General features: G+C 38.2%; 1 protein-coding gene and 1 pseudogene across 1 annotated transcript in view; one reads left to right on the forward strand and one right to left on the reverse strand.

The window, feature by feature from the left end:
• TRIM49C (tripartite motif containing 49C) overlaps positions 1 to 19696 on the forward strand; it is a 42426-nt gene extending 22730 nt beyond the window's left edge. Inside the window, exons 4-6 of the mRNA XM_024448656.2 lie at positions 17311 to 17333; positions 17861 to 17958; positions 19074 to 19696. Of these exons, the coding sequence (XP_024304424.1) occupies positions 17311 to 17333; positions 17861 to 17958; positions 19074 to 19555 (603 nt within the window). The 3' untranslated portion in view covers positions 19556 to 19696. The remainder of the gene's footprint in view (positions 1 to 17310; positions 17334 to 17860; positions 17959 to 19073) is intronic.
• TRIM64EP (tripartite motif containing 64E, pseudogene) lies at positions 3733 to 9162 on the reverse strand (annotated as a pseudogene).
• Positions 19697 to 19979: the final 283 nt, after the last annotated feature.

The following is a 19979-nucleotide window of genomic DNA, read 5'->3' on the forward strand; positions in this document are numbered from 1 at the left end:
CCCGCCCCAAGCCCGGCGGAAACCTCCCTTCTTTTACATTATTAAGTTTGTTTTTACTTTAATTTTCTTAGGACATTGATAAAATCACTTTCGGATTATTGGGATTAAAAATTAAATAATTTTCAACTTTACTCTTTTTTAAAATTCTCACAATTTATTTTAATGCTTTTATTCTTTTGTAAATTTTAATTATTGTAATTTATATCTTCAATTATTATGGAAGCATTTTAGAAAAGTCTTTTCACATAATAAAGTCTAATTAATGAACTATTATTTATTCTCTCCTCTATCTCAAATACGGACTTTAAACTTTTAGAACACTTTATGTTTTGAGACTCTTGTTACTTATGTGACATTTTAACTATTATTCTTCACTCTTCTAGTGAATTTTTAATGTCATTCAAAGGGTACATCTTTCTATAGTGAGAATTAAACATAGTTCTCAAAAATATTCTCAGATATTTAGAATTTCATCTTCCACTGGCATGTTAAGTATGTTCTCCTTCCCTTCTAATGCATATTTTTCCCCCAAGTCCTGGTGTTATACTCCTTTTTCGCCCTCCATTCAAGAGGTGATTTTATTTATTTATTTACTTATTTATTCACTGAGGCAGAGTCTCACTCAGTCTGTCACCGAGGCTAGAGTGCAGTGGCATGATCTCCATTCATTGCTATCTTTGCCTCCTTGGTTCAAGTGATTATCCTGCCTCAGCCTCCATAAAAAATCTGTAACCAGGCTATTGATAAATAACTTCTTTTAGGGATAAAAACCTCAGAAAGTTCAAGATTTCTGGATTAATGATTGACAATGTTCTTAGTGGTCTCTCTGATTTATTTCAATTGTAAGTAATTCTTGGTGATATTCTAACATAAATTCTGACAGATGAAGATAATAAATGAATTAAGTATCTCTAGGAGAATCAATACAATAAGATTATCTTGGTTAAATGGTTGAGAAAACATGGTAAATAGACACAAAAACTTTTTCATCTTCCAAAATCAGAGTCAAATACTAAATGATCATAAAGTAGCTAATACTGTCTTTCTGCAAAGTGAATCTGAGCTAAATTAAAAGAATGTCAGGAATAAATTTTTCCTTGAAAACTAGGAACAAATAATGTAATTAAATTATGAGGCATTGACTGCTGCATAGAGTTCTAGCATCAACAGAAAAGCTCACAAACCATAGGAGAAAATCAAAAAAAGGAGTGCTGGGTTGGAGCCCTAAGGTGAATAATTTTATCATCTCAGATCGCTTGGAAAAAAGCAGCAAGTCCAAAAGAAGCTGGTGATAAGCTTTCTCTCTGCTAACCCCTAATGTTCTGCATGAAATGTGTGAAGGCAGAAGAGAGACAGTTTATTATAGTCTACATGGTATAGAGTGAAGGAATAAGAGAACATTTCTGATAAGTGTTTTCAAAATTTGGAGAATCATTCCTATCTAAATCATTCATTTAAGGGACTAAAATACAAGTATGATGTTTCTTGCCATCTAACCCTCAGCTAGCCAGGCTCTAAAAAGGACAACACTGGACACCTCGACAGTGGTAAAAAGCAGGGTTTACTCACTCTTGAATACTAAGAAATGGTGCTAACCTTAGGCAGCAGCTTATCTATTTGGTTGAGGTTCAGCTTTGTTTCATTGAACAAATCTCTTGGGTTATTTTCAGTTGTGCCAGTCATTTAATTTGTTTTCTGAATCAAATGATAAGAATAAATATGGTTTTGAGTGTAAACAGCATTCCCAGATATATCTTACAACTTGGTGTGCCATCTGCCTAATTTTGAACCTATAGGATGGGAATAAATGCATTGTGAAAAACACCAGGTGATTTCCTTAAAGCCAAATACTCTTGTCCCTCCTACTTTTCTTCCGGCTTTCCTGCTGCATGGGACATGGCAATAAATGGGAGTTTCCTGCACACAGAGGTAAAATTCACTGGTTGAAGATGTCAGTTTTCTTCTTGACCAACTCCTATATTGGTACAAACATGTGAGAGAAATGCATCTTCTGAATCATTTCAAATTTGTGGTCTTTGTTAGAGCAGGTAAGCCGGTGCCCTAGGAGATGTAGCTATTACATTCTATTATAGAATTTTCCATTCTCTGTCATCTGGATTCTTTTTTTTTTTTTTTTTTTTGAGACGGAGTCCCGCTCTTTAGCCCAGGCCGGATTGCAGTGGCACAATCTTGGCTCACTGCAAGCTCCGCCTCCCAGGTTCACGCCATTCTCCTGCCTCAGCCTCCCGAGTAGCTGGGACTACAGGCGCCCGCCACCGCGCCCGGCTAATTTTTTTTGTATTTTTAGTAGAGACGGGGTTTCACCGTGTTAGCCAAGATGGTCTCGATCTCCTGACCTTGTGATCCGCCCGCCTCGGCCTCCCAAAGTGCTGGGATTACAGGCGTGAGCCACCGCGCCCAGCCCATCTGGATTCTTATTTAAAGTGTAAACTAATTTTGTTCTTTCTACTGCATAGGAAGGTTTATACCACTTTATGCTTAGCAAGTAATTAAATTTATATGTCAGTTTAAGGCCAGTCTCCACTATTCTAAGTCCTGCTCCTCTACCCCATCATCTTATATAGGAACCTTCATCTTTCAAAGGTTTATATTAAAAAACCTAAGACAATTGAAATCAACCCTATAAAAATTATGCTACAATTATTTTAAACCCTAACATAATAGTATTATCTTTGATATCAATCTGAAAATCAATTTATGTCTTATCTTTTGATAGATATTCATTAGTATGTTCTATCCTATTTTGTTACGTACATTTTGGAAAAGTTTCTCAATGTTAGAATAATATTTATACATACTAACTCCTCTACTTAATCCATTTATTCATCTTATTTATTGTATAATCTATTCTAAAAATCGCATTCGATAATGGTAATATATTAGCAAAGAAGACAAATACTGCCATTGCCCCCTTGGACTTTTCAATCTGGTAGTAATAAGTATAAGAGTTTTCTGAATGTTATAATCTGATATAATATACTTGAGAAGATGTAATAGCAGAGCAACCCAGCACTGAAAAACTTTTGTATGAGCTGAAATGAGATTAATAACTAGGATGTTGAGAAATAATAAAGTCTGTGAGGTCAACTTAACTTGGTCAGACTTAGAAAGAAAATAAGCACACTTCTTTATTCTTTGTAAGATGAGATATCCACCAGTTCATTTTTCTACCCCAGCCTGGTTCAAATATACAAGTAAGACAAATGGTTTACAGTGTGCACAAACTGAAAACATACTCTCTGAAAAATAAATCAGATTAAAAAAAGAACTTATGTTGTATGATTTTATTTACCCGAATGCAAAAACATAAAAAGTAGATTAAGTGTTCTGAAGGAATGGGGGAGGGTGAATGCAGAATAAATGTTAAGGGGTATTGGGATTCTTCTGGAAGTGATAAAAGTGCCCAGGCAGAAGAGAGCTCTGATGGCTGCTCAAGTGTGATATACTAACAATCTCTGAATTAAATACATTAGAACATGACTTTCACAGTAAGTGAATGAATCTCAAAAAACTTGTACAAAAAAAGCCATTATTGATGTTCTAGTAAAGATTCCACAATAATTTATTAATTAAAATAACTTAATTAATGAATGTATACATTCAAGGTGGTTATCCCATTTATAACCATAAAGTAATCACATTCCATGAAGTTACAGTGCGCTCACAGGCTCTCACACATAGTGTCTTAGGACAGTATTTGCCTTATATATGGGAGGTCACAATAAATCATCATGAAACCAACTTTTCATGTACAACCAAAGCAAAAGAAAGGCCTCAGAGGGGACGAGAAGGAGGAAGGAGGAAAACCATAGATAAGAGAACCTTTAGAAACATCAAAAAAACTCACAGATCCATTATCATAATCCAGAAACACCCCAACCCGACCCAGAGGCCTTTGCACATACTGAATTAAAGGTGGAGAGTTGGTGGAGAGACTATAGTGATTGCTCCTCTTTGAGGAAATTAAAAAAAATCTTTCATCAGAATCAATAATGATATTGGTATCTGCTGTTCTGGAATCTCGACAGACTCCCAGAATCCAGTTGGAGGAGAGGGTCACATCCACCTCCCAGTAATGCTTGCCAGAGGTGAATGCTTGTGCTCCCCACACAGCAAAGCTGTCCACTCCCTGGGGATCCGTGGGAGCACTGAGATGGTCATCTCCAAATATCACATATCTCACATCCTCAGAAAGGCTTATATAGCAAGGAGTCATTTCCGTACTCAGAGCATTATCCACTGACAAGGAAAAAAATATTATATTAGTGAGTGTTATGAGGGACAGAGGCTCTGTGGCCCAATTATTCACTTCATTTGCTCTTCTTCCAAGAAAATACAGAAAAAAGGAAGCCAAGAGAGTTCAGCCCCATGCATCCATGAAGATGAAATGTTATTACACCTCTACAGCATATACAATTATGTATTATTCTTTTAATAATAGAGAAAAAATGTGACCATATCACTGGGCAAAGTAATGATTTAATGTCTATCTCTGCACAGTTTGTTTCAGAACATATCTAAAATGTATTTTTTTCTTCAATAGAAAAATCTTCTTGTATTATTTGTCTTTAAGATCATCAACAGGTAGACATCAATTTGCTGTGATGTGAGTATTTATTGGAATGTAAGTTATGCCTGCTATAGTCTCAAACATCAAAAATTTGGTAGAAATTAACACATGTAAAGTTTATAAGTTTCTGAAAAGAATATTCTGGCTTTACATTATCTGTTTAGCCCCTGATTCAATCTACTCTGGGTTCCTGCTCTCTGCTACCTAGATCTGCTCTCTAGAATGGGCCTAGCATGGTTAGGTCATGTTCACAGATCCCTCACCTTCTGCTTGTTACGAGATGTTTCTGATGGCATTAGAATTGTCTGGATTATGGATATTTTAGTCATTTTCTTTGTTGATCAAAATGTTCTGATTTTGTAAATAATAAAAATTACTTATAGAATGCATGTAAATGCACATAGAATAGAAATAATTAAAAACCATTATGCCAAATCTAAGCCTTCAAAATTGAATTAAATTGAATAAACACGAAATACCGATGCCGCCATGAGAACTAGTGTCTTCATAACTACATGACCTGAATATTCTTTGTCCTCTTATTCTGCAGATAAAGTATGTATCTTGCTTTACATTTTCGTCAAACTGTAAGTCAGGAAATTGAGTTTTGATCATTGTAATATTACTATGCAGGTAGGGAAGATGCACATGTTTCGGAAAACTATGTATTACCTACATGTCAAAACTAACAAAACTTAAATGGGAAAAGCCTCAACCAAGGGAACCAATAAGGAAATAATTTGAGGCTGGAATGCCAAGCAGCTGGCTCTTACCTCTGAAGTTGTTGAGCATGTCTAGGACTCCAGTTATGCACCATGAAGTGAGCTCTGGGTTCACTGGCTGGGGCTTTTGCATCTGTGCCAAATCAGTCCTGCAAAAAAAATGGCCTCAGTTATATTTCCAGGCCCAGAGCTAATCACACAGTCATACAAAGATATCACATTTTCATATAAGATGTTTCCTCAGAATTCTGCCAGTTTTGGTTAACTGGGTATACACTTTATTCCACACTCTAGGGGCAATAAGGATGTTACTTTTTCTAAATTTTACTTGCATAAAAACCCAGTTTCCCCAGATATGTTATTCTCAGACATTATACAACTTCTAAAGTCATTAAAAGTCATTGCCTCCCTCTGCCCATCACACCCCTTGAGGGTATGCAGAAATCCTGGAAATATTTCAGAGAGCAGAAAACTCAGACAAAAACCTTTGGGACCTCAGCCTGCAGTTGTCACTAATGCTAGTCAGTGTCTAACAGAGAATGTTCACTGAGGCAAAAGTCTTTAATCTTTTGTGCAAAACAAAGGAGTCTAATTCCAGCCTGAGAACCTTGCTGCTGAGGGGCCCGAGGTAACCATTTTCCTGAGGTCTTTCCTAGAACTGGGTGTATGGTGATGGAGGAGGCCCGGGTCATTGATGCTTTTAGGAGCAAAACATCCCTCCTCAGCCCTTCCTTAGGGAATCTCTCTCCTCCCTCTGTCTTTTTTTTTTTTTAACCTCCCACCCCTCTAGAGTAGAAGACACCTCTATGATTCCTCAGAGTAATTTTGTATTAAGATCTGTGGGGTATGGTTGGTCAGGATGGATGGATTGGGAAACCAAACTTCCGAATGGCAAATTGTTTCTATGTATATTTTAATTCATACAAATTGTAAGATGGAAACTTTCCAGACCAAAGAGAAGAAGACCTCAGGCCCTCTTTTGAAACAAAATCGGAAATAGGCACTGAGAATGATGTCAGTACCTCAAAATGTATACATCCCCTTCATTCACAAGAGAACAAATTTTTCAGAAATAACATTTTTTTTTAGTGTAAACTCACCTTGCCGATACATTTCCCACATGCTGCAAAAAAATATATATATAATGTTAATTATGAGAGATTTTTCCTTCTGCATCTTTTCTCATACTCTTGTTTCTTTCTGTTTTAGTGTTTTAATAATGTATATCTTTTTATTTCCCTCTAAGGAATCATTCAAGGCTATGTTAATAACAGAACCTCAACTAAACAATGAAAAGCTTCATCAGTGGGCATTAAGAAGAAAGGAGCTCAGCAAGAGAAGATGGAGTAAAGCAAAGATATCTAGGTTTCCAGTGTCATTAATTTCCTAACCTTATTTCCAAGGAAAGCTCTGACCACACATGACAACTATTAAAACAGAGAACCATATGAGAAACAGAGTACATGGACATTGATGAGCAGCTTTGACAAACCTTGCCCAGGCAAGGGGAAACCCCTCAATGTCTTCAGCAAATCACTGCTGTGTGGGACATTAGAGAGTGAGGAGGAACTAGGGCATATACATGGATATTACTAACCTTCCCCTGGCCTAGAGTTCTAATGATCTTAGATGATCTCTCTTGTGGATAGTACTCCAAATTATATTGAAGAGAACTGTGTTATATGTTATCTACTAAATTGGCAAAAATTTCCCAAAGATTACTAAAGTATGCAGTAATAAATGACTGGAAAAATGTAATGGTGGAAGTCAGACAGCATGTGTCACTTAGCTTAGAGCAGTGACATACGCAGGTGATATTTGCATGTCCTGGCAGCGTTGTTCAGCAAAGGCTTCCTGTCTCTGAGGATGGACCCTCCCTCCTCACCTGGAGCAGCTCCACGTCAGGCATGTGGCATGTCTCCCACAGCTCTCTGTACATGTCTTTCATCCTTTCTAAATGTTGGGTCATTCTCACTTGACTGTCTTGTAGTTGTTGGAAAAGCTCTTTTGCTTCTCTTTCCAGTGCCTGCAGATGCAGTTGCTCCTCCTCATTGAGAAATAGATGCATCTTTTGATACTGAATAGTGATTATCCTCTTCCTTAATGACACATAGTCCTGCAGAGATGTTTGGTTAAAAGGATTACATATTCTCACTCTCAATAGAAAACTTCAAATAATTATATGCAGCGTGTAATTAAGCAATTTATAAACTTTCTGCCTCACTCTTGCAAAGAGTCTTGAATATTTGCTATCTTTTTCTGTCCATCTTTTTCAATGTTCCTATTCTCTCTCCCTTTTTAAATCAAACCTATATAAAGACTCCTGGTTTCCGTCACTGTGACGCTTCTTCACAGTTCTTACTGGGTCAATTGTTTCCTCTATTAATCTCTCTTTTAGGATTTTTCCATGTCTGCTTCGCCTACATGTTAAAAAACATTTAGCCATACACCATATTATGCAGTTTTTTTTTACTTTTACTATATTTTTACTCTATATACTATTCTATTTCTTTCATCTTCCTCACACCCAAACTTAGTGAAATGTTGTCTCATCTGCAGTGTCTGAAAAGGTTTATGCCAACCTTCAAATTTGAACTAGAATACACATCATGCCGTTTATCCAATACACTAGAATTAATTTGGCTAGCTTGTGTGGGCTTCTCTGTTTGCAATTCCTGTTATATCAATTGAAATCACTACATTTTCTTGGGATGAAATCACTATCTTTTAACTGGTAGTTTGAATTTAGCTAAAAAGTATAAGCCAACTTTGTGTTTATTTGCGTAAAAACAAAGGAAACATTTTCATTCTTACCACTAATGAACAAAATTTGCTAGTTTCCTGATTTAGATTGTTTCGTGTCTCTTGATTGATTTTCCATAAATAGTCCATTTCCTTTATAAGTTTCTCCTGCAAAAGAAGCAAGAAGCTTAGCAATGATGAAGACAGTAGATTTCATCCCCTTATCAATAAAAAAAAAGGCTGTAATTGAAAGAAACATAAATTAAGTTAGAGTGAAGCGGTCAGATTTTTCCAAGTTAAACGAATATGATTCTAATAATTTGGATGTGAAAAATGATAGAAACATAATAGAGAGTTTTAAGGGACCCTTCAGATAATATCATCAATTTTCTGAGAAACTGGCTTTTATATAACCTGACTTTGAAAAGTGTTCTTGGTGCTGGCCACCAGCTCCACAGCTCCATTCTATATGTTTGAACAATGTTTTTAAGGAAACCTCCTTTAGCGAAGTCTCAACACAGCTGTGATTAGAGTGCCAAATTAGCCAGCAACATTGAAAGGACACATTCATGTGTTATGATTGACATGGAATAATCACCACCTCCATCATCTGCATTCTCATCACCATCATTGTCACAGGCCCTCATCATTCTTATTTGGGATTCTGTATAATTCAAACTGCCTTAGAGGCATCACGTACCCTGCATTCCTCAGCAGCCCATCCTATTGGGCTGTGGCTGTGAGCCATGTGCTCTGGTGACTCAGAGCAGGGCCCACAGAGCAATCTCTTGTCAGCCTCACAGAAGAGCTCCTTAGTCTCCGCATGGAGCACACAGATATTGTCTGAGCTGTTGATGTTCTGAGGTCTGGTCTGTCTGGCTAGGGAAGACAGCTTTTTGAGTACCACATTGGTGTTGAAGTTGGGCTTCTCTGAGATTTTTCTGCATGAAGGGCAGCGCATTGGTGCTCTGCCTTCTTCTGAGCAGAGGCAGAGGCAGGGCCTGCAAAAGCTGTGCCCACAGTCAATGGTGACCGGTCTATGAAGTAGTTCACGCAAATGCAGCAAATGAGCTCATTCTGGAAGACTCGCAGGGCATCAGAATCCATGTTTCTGAAAATTAAAAAAAAAAAAGTGAGAATTTCTTTCTCTTATTTTTATTTACCCCGATGAAAAGGAAAAAAAGGCCGGTGGACAATTTTCTTTGTCTACTTGAGCTCTGTCCAACATGTCGAATAAGTTAGCTCCAGTACAAACTGAGACATAGTAAATGCAAACATGCTGGATTTATAAAGTTTTCGCTCAATAGCCATTGAAGATTTGGTTCAGGACTCCCTGACATACCAAGATCCTAAGATGTTCAAGTCTCTTATTAGTAAGCGGTGTGGGATTTGCATGTAACGTAAACCTATCCTCCTGAATACTTTATCTCTAGATTACTTTGAATGCCTAATACAATGTAAATGTTGTATAAATACTTGTAATGCCACACTGTTTAGGAACAGCAAGAAGATTAAAAATATGTACAAGTTTGGCAGAGTGCGTTCACTCATGCCTGTAATTCCAGCACTTCGGGAGGCCGAGGCAGGCGGATCATGAGGTCAGGAGATCAAGATCATCCTGGCTAATACGGTGAAATCTCGTTTCTACTAAAAATACAAAAAATCAGCAGGGCGTGGTGGCACGTGCCTGTAGTCCCAGCTATTTGGGAGGCTGAGGCAGGATAATCACTTGAGCCCAGGAGGTGGAGGTTGCACTGAGCTGAGATCGTGCCACTGCACTCCAGCATGGGTAATAGAGTGAGACTCTGTCTCAAAAAAAAGTACATGTTCAGTATACCTGCTTTTTTCTTCCTGTAAATATTTTTTTATCTGAGATTAGTTGAATCCACGGGTATGAAACATGGATATGAACAACCATGATTCAAATGATAAAATGAGACGAGAGTCCTCATGGCATTTTTGTTAAACAAGCCGTGCTCTCAGTCATTCCCAGTTACCTAGACAAGCTTAAAGCCTGGGCGGAGGGTAAAAGCTGGGATGATTTCTGAGTCACTTATATAAGCTAATTGATGAAGAAGCACATTCTGAATGTCATCCTGTCTCTGTCATTCTATCTCTCTCAATAATTCCATGATGATAATATATGAAAGACACTTAGTATCTATGGTATTATTCTATACTCCCTGCCTCCAAACTCACCTATGAAGTTTGCTCAGACAATTATAAATAAAGTAGCTTTTATCTAAGATTGAGTAATCAGAGTGGACCGTCAACTCCTAAAATTATCAACCATTAAATTTGTCCTTTTAACTTTAATATCAAAACTCTTCCTTTCAATACATTAAATGTAATTAATATCTATTATTTTTAATTTAGGAAAGTTTTTTCCCATTGTCAATTCAGATGATTAGAGAGAACACTTTCACATTCTGAAATAGCCAATATTTCAACTATAATAATTAACAAGAATTAATCAACCGTTAATTATCTTCTAAAATAACAACAAAAAAAGTGAAGATATGTATTAGGTTTTCCACTCTACACTAGAAAATCCAGAAATACAGTTAATGGAAGCATGGCCACCAATTCACCTTTCCCCTTAGTGACTTGGAAGTTGTAGCCTCTGGGAAGCCCTTGCCAGTTGGTTAGGTCTATTGATCTATTTTCTTTCTTTCTATCTTTTTTTTTTTTTTGGTTGTTGTTGTTGTTGAGATGCAGTCTTGCTCTGACTTCAGGCTGGAGTGCAGTGGCACGATTTCAGCTTACTGCAACCTCAGCCTCCCAGGTTCGAGCAACTCTCCTGCCGAGGCCTCCCAAGTAGCTGGTATTACAGGCACCCACCACCACGCCAGGATGATTTTTTTGTATTTTTAGTAGAGACCGGGTTTCACCATGTTGGCCAGGCTGGTGTCTAACTCTAGACCTCAAGCGATCTGCCTGCCTTGGCCTCTCAAAGTGCTAGGCTGCAAACATGAGCCATCATGCCCAGCCGATTAAATCTATTTTCAACAGCTTTCACATCTAGTCTGCAAACTGCAAATTTTGAAGAGACAGCAAATAAGACCTTTGCAACAAGAATTTTCAAAGTAATTCAACATTTTTAACATTTCCTTTGGCGTACGTTACAACCATTACTACATGCCCACATTCTGGTGAACATTTTAGGTATTTTATGGGTTCTATCATTGCATGAAACTATGGAAATATATCTTTTCACACTTAAGAAAAATCTAACAATACAGAAAACAGTCACATCAAAGGAATCAAATAGCAAGGGAACACAAACCATACCTTACAAATTGAAGATACTTTATATTGATTTTCTGTAAAATCACTAAGACAGTTACTTGTTTGCTTAGAAAAGACCCAAGCATGCTGCCAGGTAAATTTAAAGTATTTTGAAGAGAAAAAGTGAGCATGATGGGTTTACTGCAAATTTTATACTCACAAGGCTACTATGAATGGTCTCAGTCTAGAAGCTCTGTAGATATCCAGATTAGAAGTCACTCCTGGCTCTTCAAAGCCCAGCAGTCACAAATCCAGTGGGTCCTCACTGAAGGAGGGAGAAATCTCTGGACAAGCATCCTTTTAAAGTGTATGGGCCCACGGAAGACCACACCCACTTCCTGAGATGGATTGGATTGCATAGAAAGGGATAAATTGGCTGATTAGGTTTATAAGGTATTGAAAACCAGACTTGAGGGCTCAAAGCTCAACAGACAAGTTTGGAATGAGACGCAAGAAAGTTGACTTAACACAGTTTATTCAAAGCAATATTTTAAGTAGCTGGGCAAGGTGGCTCATGCCTGTAATCCCAGCACTGTGGGAGGCCCACGAGGGTGGATCACGAGGTCAGGAGTTCAAGACCAGCCTGGCCAAGACAGTGAAACTCCATCTGTACTAAAAATACAAAAAATTAACCGAGTTCGGCGGCAGGCACTTGTAATCCTAGCTACTTGGGAGGCTGAGGCATGAGAATCACTTGAACCTGGGAGGCAGAGGTTACACTGAGCCGAGATAGCACCACTGCACTCCAGCCTGGGTGACAGAGCGAGACTCTGTCTCAAAAGAAAAAAAAAAAAGAAATATTTTAAATACAACAATTATTTCATTAAATATTATCACTTGCTAACTCTTTTTTTTCTTTTGAGACGGTATCTTGCTCTGTCGCCCAGGCTGGAGTGCCAGGGCTTGGTCTTAGCTCACTGCAACCTCTGCATCTCCAGTTCAAGTGATTCTCCTGCCCCAGCCTCCCAAGTAGCTGGGATTACAGGCACCTGCCACTAAGCCCAGCTAAGTTTGTATTTTTACTAGAGACAGGGTTTCACCATGTTGCTTAAGCTGGTCTCGAACTCCTCACTTCAGGTGATCTGCCCACCTCGGCCTCCCAAAGTGCTGGGATTACAAGCGTGAGCCACTGCACCGGGCCACATGCTAACTTTAAAATTTTGTTTCTCACTCTGTTTTAAAATTATAGTTGCTTATGTGCCTAGCCGTTATTTGTCTGAATATGTTCAAAGATAAAACATTAACTGGGATTACCAACACATCCGTGCTGTGTAACTCTGTTGTTTAAAAAAGTATAGCAAGGAACTCAATTGTGTTTCACATAATTGTATATATAATGGTTGATAGAATTAGTTGTATCAGCCTGATTTTCTTATAGTCTATTTTATGGCTATTTTATGTCTTATAGTCTATTTTATGACTATTTCCTAATGATTGTTTTGTATGAAACTAAAATCTATTTTTTATTCATCCACCTTTTTGAATAATTTTAAAAGTGATACTTTACATATATATGTACATAACTATAACAATGTTATGTATTCATATTTTAAAAATTATATAATAATTATTTACACAATAATAATAATTATTATTACTTTTTTTTCGAGACGCAGTCTCCCTCTGTCACCCAGGCTGGAGTGCAATGGCATGATCTCAGCTCACTGCAACCTCTGCCTCCGAGGTTCAAGTGATTCTCCTGCCTCAGCCTCCCGAGTAGCTGGGATTACAGGTGTCTGTCACCGTGACTGGCTAATTTTGGTATTTTTAGTAGAGGTAAGGTTTCACTGAGTTGGCCAGGCTGGACTCGAACTCCTGACCTCAGGTGATCTGCTATTATCATTTTAGACTTCAAGTCTTTTTCAAACCAGTTTTTCTGTTCCAAATTGGAGACTTTTTCTTAAGAAATAATTCAAGAAATGAAAATACTATGACAAAATATAGAACTTTGTGACAGTTCTTGGACACTTTAGCAATATATAGCTATTACTTTCAAAAAGATTAATAGAATTCACAATATTATCAGAAATCCATGGAGAGCGTATGCTTCAGTGTACCAGATAGAGCAATGGGCACAACCAAGGTGTCAATTGTTATGCTACTGTGAGCAGCAGAACAATAGCAAAAGGGTTCCATCTAATCATTTCAACATGGAAGCAAACTTCTTATTAGGATTTCTTGCTAATATCAAAATATTCAGCTAAAAAAATTTTATTTCCTGGGAAATGATATAAAATATCAATAAGCATGGTAAAATACACTATCACTATGGAATGCCATAATTAGTGCATGAGATAAACACAGGGTTTCACAGAAAGATAAAGTCTTTGAATGTTCACAAAGAGATTCTCAGATTATTTGAATAATATTTAATAAACCTAGAGTTGACCCTTGAACACCATGGTGGTTGGGGTGTCAAGATCCCATGTAGTCAGAAATCAGCATATAATGTTTGTCTTCCTCAAAACTTAGCTATCAATAGCCTACTGTTGACTAGAAGCCTTAATGATAATATTCACAGTTGATTAACGCATATTTTATATGTTATGTGTATACTGTATTTTTACAATAAAGTTAGCTAAAGGAAAGAAGATATTAAGAAAATAAAAAGAAAATATATTTAATATTCATTAATGGAAAACTAAATATAATTAGTGGAAGTGGATCATTATAAGGGTTTTCAGCCTCATCATTTTCATGTTGAGTAATCAGAGAAGGAGGAGAAAGAGGAGGGGTTGGTCTTGCTGTCCCAGGGGTGTCAGAAGCAGAAGAAACTCCAATTATAAGTGACTCACAGAGTTCCAACCAGTGTTATTCAAGGGTCAACAGTAAATATAGGTCAAAAGCTTTAAAACTATATTCTCCGATTTTCTAAATAAAATTAAACTACATTACATAAAAAAATTTAATAGGAAATTTCTTGGAATTTCAGGCAGGTAAATTGGGGCGGGGGTGCTGGAAACTATATACTAGATAAACCATTGTACTATTGGATTTCCACATAATTCACATATGTGATTAACACTTCCATAATGAGAGAGGCAGTGCTTAGAGATGTAGCAGAAAAGGTAGCATAGGGTAGTTCAAGATGGGACCTACATGCATGGCTGAAGAATCTGTATGGATCATTTACTGATTCAAACATAAAATGAATACTATGAAGAGAAGAGATGAAATGAAATTACATATACATTCTGAAAGAAGTAAAGATTTCCTGATGGAAAAGTAAAACAAATAATATTAAAGACACTCCTAAGCACTAAGAAAGAAATTGGCTCTGTGTGAAAGAAAGAGATATCATGAGCTTAATTATTGATAAGTCATTCTGATTCTTTAAAGGTGATATCCTTAAGGATAGTACTTACAATACTTTTTTCTTCAAAATATCAAGTGCCTACTGTGTCTTAATAAACATTCTAAGCCAATGCAGAAATGAACAAATGAGACGGATTTTCTTGCACCTAAAGAGCTAATGAGGTTGCAGGGTGAGAAACACAAGACAACAAGTCAAAATACAACATTGAAAAAGTGAAGCTGGCACAGTGGCTGTGGCCTGTAATACCAGCACTTCAGGATTCTGAAGTAGGAGGATCACTTGTGCTTAGCAGTTCAAGACCAGCCTCACCAACAAAGTGAGAGCTCTTTTCTCTAAGAAAAGAAACAAAATTAGCTTGGGTTGTGGCATGTCCCTGTATTCTCAGACACTGGCTTAGGTGAGAGGATTGCTTGAACCTGGGAAGTCAAGGTTGCATTGAGCTGGTATTGCACCACGCTTAAGCCTGGATGACAGAACAAGACCCTGTTTCGAAAAGAAAAAAAAAATTGATAGAGTGACGCATTGTGATAAGTGCTTTAGAGAAAAATACAGCAGGAAAGGAAAATAAAGAATCATAGACAAAAATTGATTTTTGTTTTGTTTTGTTTTTGTTTTTGTTTTTGTTTTTGAGACAGAGTCTCGCTCTGTCACCCAGGCTGGAGTGCAGTGGCACAATCTTGGCTCACTGCAAGCTCCGCCTCCCGGGTTCACGCCATTCTCCTGCCTCAGCCTCCCAAGTAGCTGGGACTACAGGCGCTCGCCACCACGCCCAGCTAATTTTTTTTTTTTTTGTATTATTAGTAGAGACAGGGTTTCACCGTGTTAGCCAGGATGGTCTCAATCTCCTGACGTCGTGATCCGCCCACCTCGACCTCCCAAAAAAGTGCTGGGATTACAGGCGTGAGCCACCGTGCCTGGCCCAAAATTGAATTTTTAATACTATGGTCAGAAAAGACATAGTATAGAATATATTTGGGCAGATACCTAAAGGAGGCTAGAAACGAAGGTGCGTGGCTATTTCATGTATTTCAGCTTTTTCCTAGCTTTTTAGGAAGCGATAACTACATTAAAAATATCTAAATATAAACTGATTATTTCTCCACACCATATTTGCCCCCATTGTCTATTATGAAGCTTCTGATATAAAGGAGAAAGAATGAGAATACAGAAAATTGAAGCCAGATCTCAAGGTTGAGAGTAACTTATTTATGATCAATAAAGTCTCACAATATGTACGGTAATTTAAGCATGGTAGGTGAGTGTTATTCCGTGTGAAATGAATCAAAATCTTACTCAGAATACTGAAGGTAAATATGTCAAGTGTATATGGAGACCAGAGACAAGTGCTCTGCTGCCTTTGGCACAGAGCACAAGCAACACTTTTAAGCTTCATTACTTGTTTCTCAGTATCAGAGGAGGGGAGAATGTCTGCCTATTGACCTCGACGGCATCCTCCTGCAACTAATCATCCCTCATTCTCCTTGTCCCTGAACTCCCTTGACCCACCCCCTCCTTCATTTGATTGGCTCTGTGTACTTGTTAGAATCAGAAGATCTGGGGGAACTGTGGCTTCTAAACATGTACACTGGACTCTACCCATATCCAGCCCTGTGACCCTACAAACGTGCTCAACTGAATTTTCCTCCCATAGAGACACTCTTCCTGCTGAGTTTCTCTCCTGTGCTCCTAGAGCCAAATGGCATCTCGTGTCCTGTCCCTGGATGGCTTAACCCAGGAAAACTCCTGGATCCAAGAGGAGTCAGACAAAGGAATGGTGGCCTTGTGCGTGCTGATATTCTCACAGATGTAAAGGGGATATCCTGAAATCTAGGGTTTCTTCCTTCCCTTTTCCCTCCCTTACAGCTTCTGCTGCTCCTGGGACCTTTGCTCTATCTCTCATCCAGCTCAGACTGTTGCTGGGCCTGAGAGTCTTTGCATAGCCAAGGTGGTTCTCGAAGAACTCTTGTCTGCACGAGGTCTGAGTTGCTTCTCCAGAATCTGTAGCATGGGTTTCCATAACTACAGGAAGATCTAGAGCTACTGGTAACTAGGCAGAGAATGTTCTCATGTGTCTAACATGGCATGACACTCCTCTCCATGAGCGGTAGAATAAATGCATTCAGATGAAGCCCTGCCATCATTACTTTGTCAGAAATAGATTCTGTCAATAGGTCTTACTGGTATAAGTGTAAGAGATGAGAATACATTTTAAAAGTGTTGCAGTGATAGTATGTGGTAATTCTAAAGTTTTCAAAACCTAAAGAGCAGATGGGCAGAATAACAACTTGTTTGTTTCTTTGATTCTTTGTTTGTTTGTTTTGAGACAGAGTCTTCTGTCAACCAGGCTGAAGTCCAGTGGCCCAATCTCAGCTCACTGCAACTTCTGCCTCCTTAGTTCAAGCTATTCTCCTGCCTCATCCTCCCTAGTAGCTGGGACTAAAAGCATGCACCACCACACCTGGCTAATTTTTTTGTATTTTTAGTAGGGATGGGGATTTGCCATGTTGTCCAGGCTAGTCTGGAAATCCTGACCTCAGGTGATCCACCCACCTTGGCCTCCCAAAGTGGTGGGATTACAGGTGTGAGCCACCTCACCCAACAAGAATAACAACTTTCTAAAGGAGTCGTTTTCTCTCTCTCTCTCTCTACAGGATTTGGGAGACATGGTGGCAAGGTATGTTAATGGCCATCAGTGCAAGCTGGAGCACAAGGCGTGCTGTGAAAAACATCAAGTTGTTTCCAACAAAGGGAAAACATAATTTACTAACACCATAATGTGTCAATGTGATTGTGTGTGTAAGTGTGTGTACTTATGTGTTTGTGTGGTATGTTGAATGTTACCTATGCCTCTTATCAGACATTAAACTTTTCTTACTTTTCCAAGTGACTCAGGGGTTTCTGTTTTGAAGAGTTCAATGCAGGAGTTGCTAGAATACAATTGCCTCTTTTTAGGATTCAGAATCATAATTAGAGATCAACTATTTGGTGGCAGATAGGGAGAGAGGCATTTATCTTTCAGTGGCAGTAGGTTAGAAACGGAGTGAAGAGTTAGAAAGATTCCCTAAGGGCCACAAACCCATCCTAGGATTGTGGAGGTACATTACAATATCAGAAGTGGTTTGAATGAAGCATTTTCTGTTGGAATCTATTTCTTAAACACAGACATCAGAAACTTAACCAACTCAACCTACTTCCTTGCAGGAGTGAGTCCGTGCTGCTGCACATGCTCCAGCCTGTGAATCCAGAGCTCCCTACAGGGCCCATCACAGGACCGGTGGACAGGCTCAACCACTTCCGAGGTGAGTGTGGCCCTCTTGGTGGGATCAACATGCAATGCCTTCAGTTATGGTTTTCTATGGGCAGCCTTCCCAGTGTAACGATTTTTCATCTAGAAGAAGAGAATAGTCTGTGAATAGGTATTTACATTTATAGTTTCACTATCATCAAACAGACAAAACTAAATAAAAGATGGTGGAATCAGCCATATAACAAATTTCTTGGAAAAGTAAAACACGCAGAAGGGCTTTTTAGGACGTAGAACCATTCATGTATGCTTCAACCGTGATACAATTTCATGTATACAATTATTACATGAAGTATACAGAACTGAATTAATTCAGGACATTTCAATTTCAAATTCAGTGCAGTTAATGACTGATTTGAGTGACAGTGTTTTTTTAAATACATTTCAGGTGAAGTTTCATAGCATTTATAATTTTAATCACGTGCATTTTAATCAACTAAAGCATACACGAGTAACTTATATAACAATGCAAACACTGAGAATCTGTGAACAATAAGAACGTGATTTGGTGGTTGATGAGGCCTTAGATAGAACTCCAGGATAGATCATGATAAATCCAGCAGATAAAAGATGTCTGTGCCTGAATCTGGCATGAAAGTCAGATAATTCTGGCAAGGAATCTGCACTTTTCAGAAGGCAGATTCAGATTTTCTCTTTAAGTATGAATTTTCTAGTTTAAGTGGCAGATTATAATATTTCTGGAAAGCGATAACTTTTTTATTTGGGTCTAAGAATGGCTCCCCACCTCATCTCCTGTCCCCAGCCTCCTGCTCTGCCCTGACAGAGAAGAGGCAATGGAGGTTAATTTTATTGCTATGGACTTGGCTGCAGTGCAAGAGGTTCCAGTTTTTCAGTTGTTATGAAAGGTCGCTAACTAGACATAGACATGACCTTCCTCCCCTTTATACTTTTTGAGTTTATAGAAATTGCGATCATTGAAGTTGAGCCATTTACTTGTGCAGATATCCTAACACCCTTTGATTCCAACATTTTTCCAGGCAGAAGTTACTTTGTAATCTTGACCTGTGTTTTCTAGTGAGAATCTCTTTCTTATCTGAACATAAGAATTTATAAACTGCTTTTCACTGGAACGTTCTCTTTTTTCTACAGTGGAAATTTCCTTCACTTGGGAAGGAACCAATTACAATATCGGGCTGTTTGAGGATGTGAGAAGTTTGATGTTTAGACGTGGATCTTTGAATTCTGACAGATCTGACTATTTTGCTGCATGGGGAGCCTGGGTCTTCTCCTCTGGCAAACACTACTGGGAGCTGGATGTGGACAACTCTTGGGACTGGGCTCTGGGAGTCTGTAAGGACTCCTGGATAAGGAAGAATAGCACAATGTTTAACTCTAAGGACATATTTCTTCTTTTATGTGTGAAGGTGGATAATCATTTCAGTCTCTTGACCACCTCCCCAATGTTTCCTCACTATGTAGAGAAACCTCTGGTCCGAGTTGGTGTGTTTCTTAATTTTGAAAGTGGAAGTGTGAGTTTTTTGAATGTCACCAAGAATTCCCTCATATGGAATTACCCAGCTGGCTCCTTAAATTTTCCTGTCAGGTCTTTCTTTTACACTGGCCACAGATGACAAGGATTAAGAAACCTGACTGTTCGGGAACTCCATATACAGGGGAGCCAGCCCTTCACTGTTGATACAAAGAAATCATACTTTTCAGGCTTTTTTCTACTTTAGTGTCACTTCATTTTATTGCTATTAAGTAGAAGATATGTAAAATGCAAAACATTTTTGTACATTTTCTTACAATTAAAATAATCTCTTATGGCCCATTACCTAAAATATGTATTGTGATTTTCAAGTGTTTGTGAATTTATTGGATGGAATTCTGGAAATATGTGGGTGTGTGATTCCCACTTAATTATCCCATGCAGGAACAAAATTTGCACATCATGGACAGACAGGATTTTGTACAATGCACTTGTAAGTGTGAGTGCTCTCTCCTATTAATACGGTAAATTCTACACCTCATTGCTTTAGGTGGAAAAATTTATTT

The sequence above is a fragment of the Homo sapiens genome, chromosome 11 (assembly GCF_000001405.40).
Source record: "Homo sapiens chromosome 11, GRCh38.p14 Primary Assembly".
NCBI lineage: Eukaryota > Metazoa > Chordata > Mammalia > Primates > Hominidae > Homo > Homo sapiens.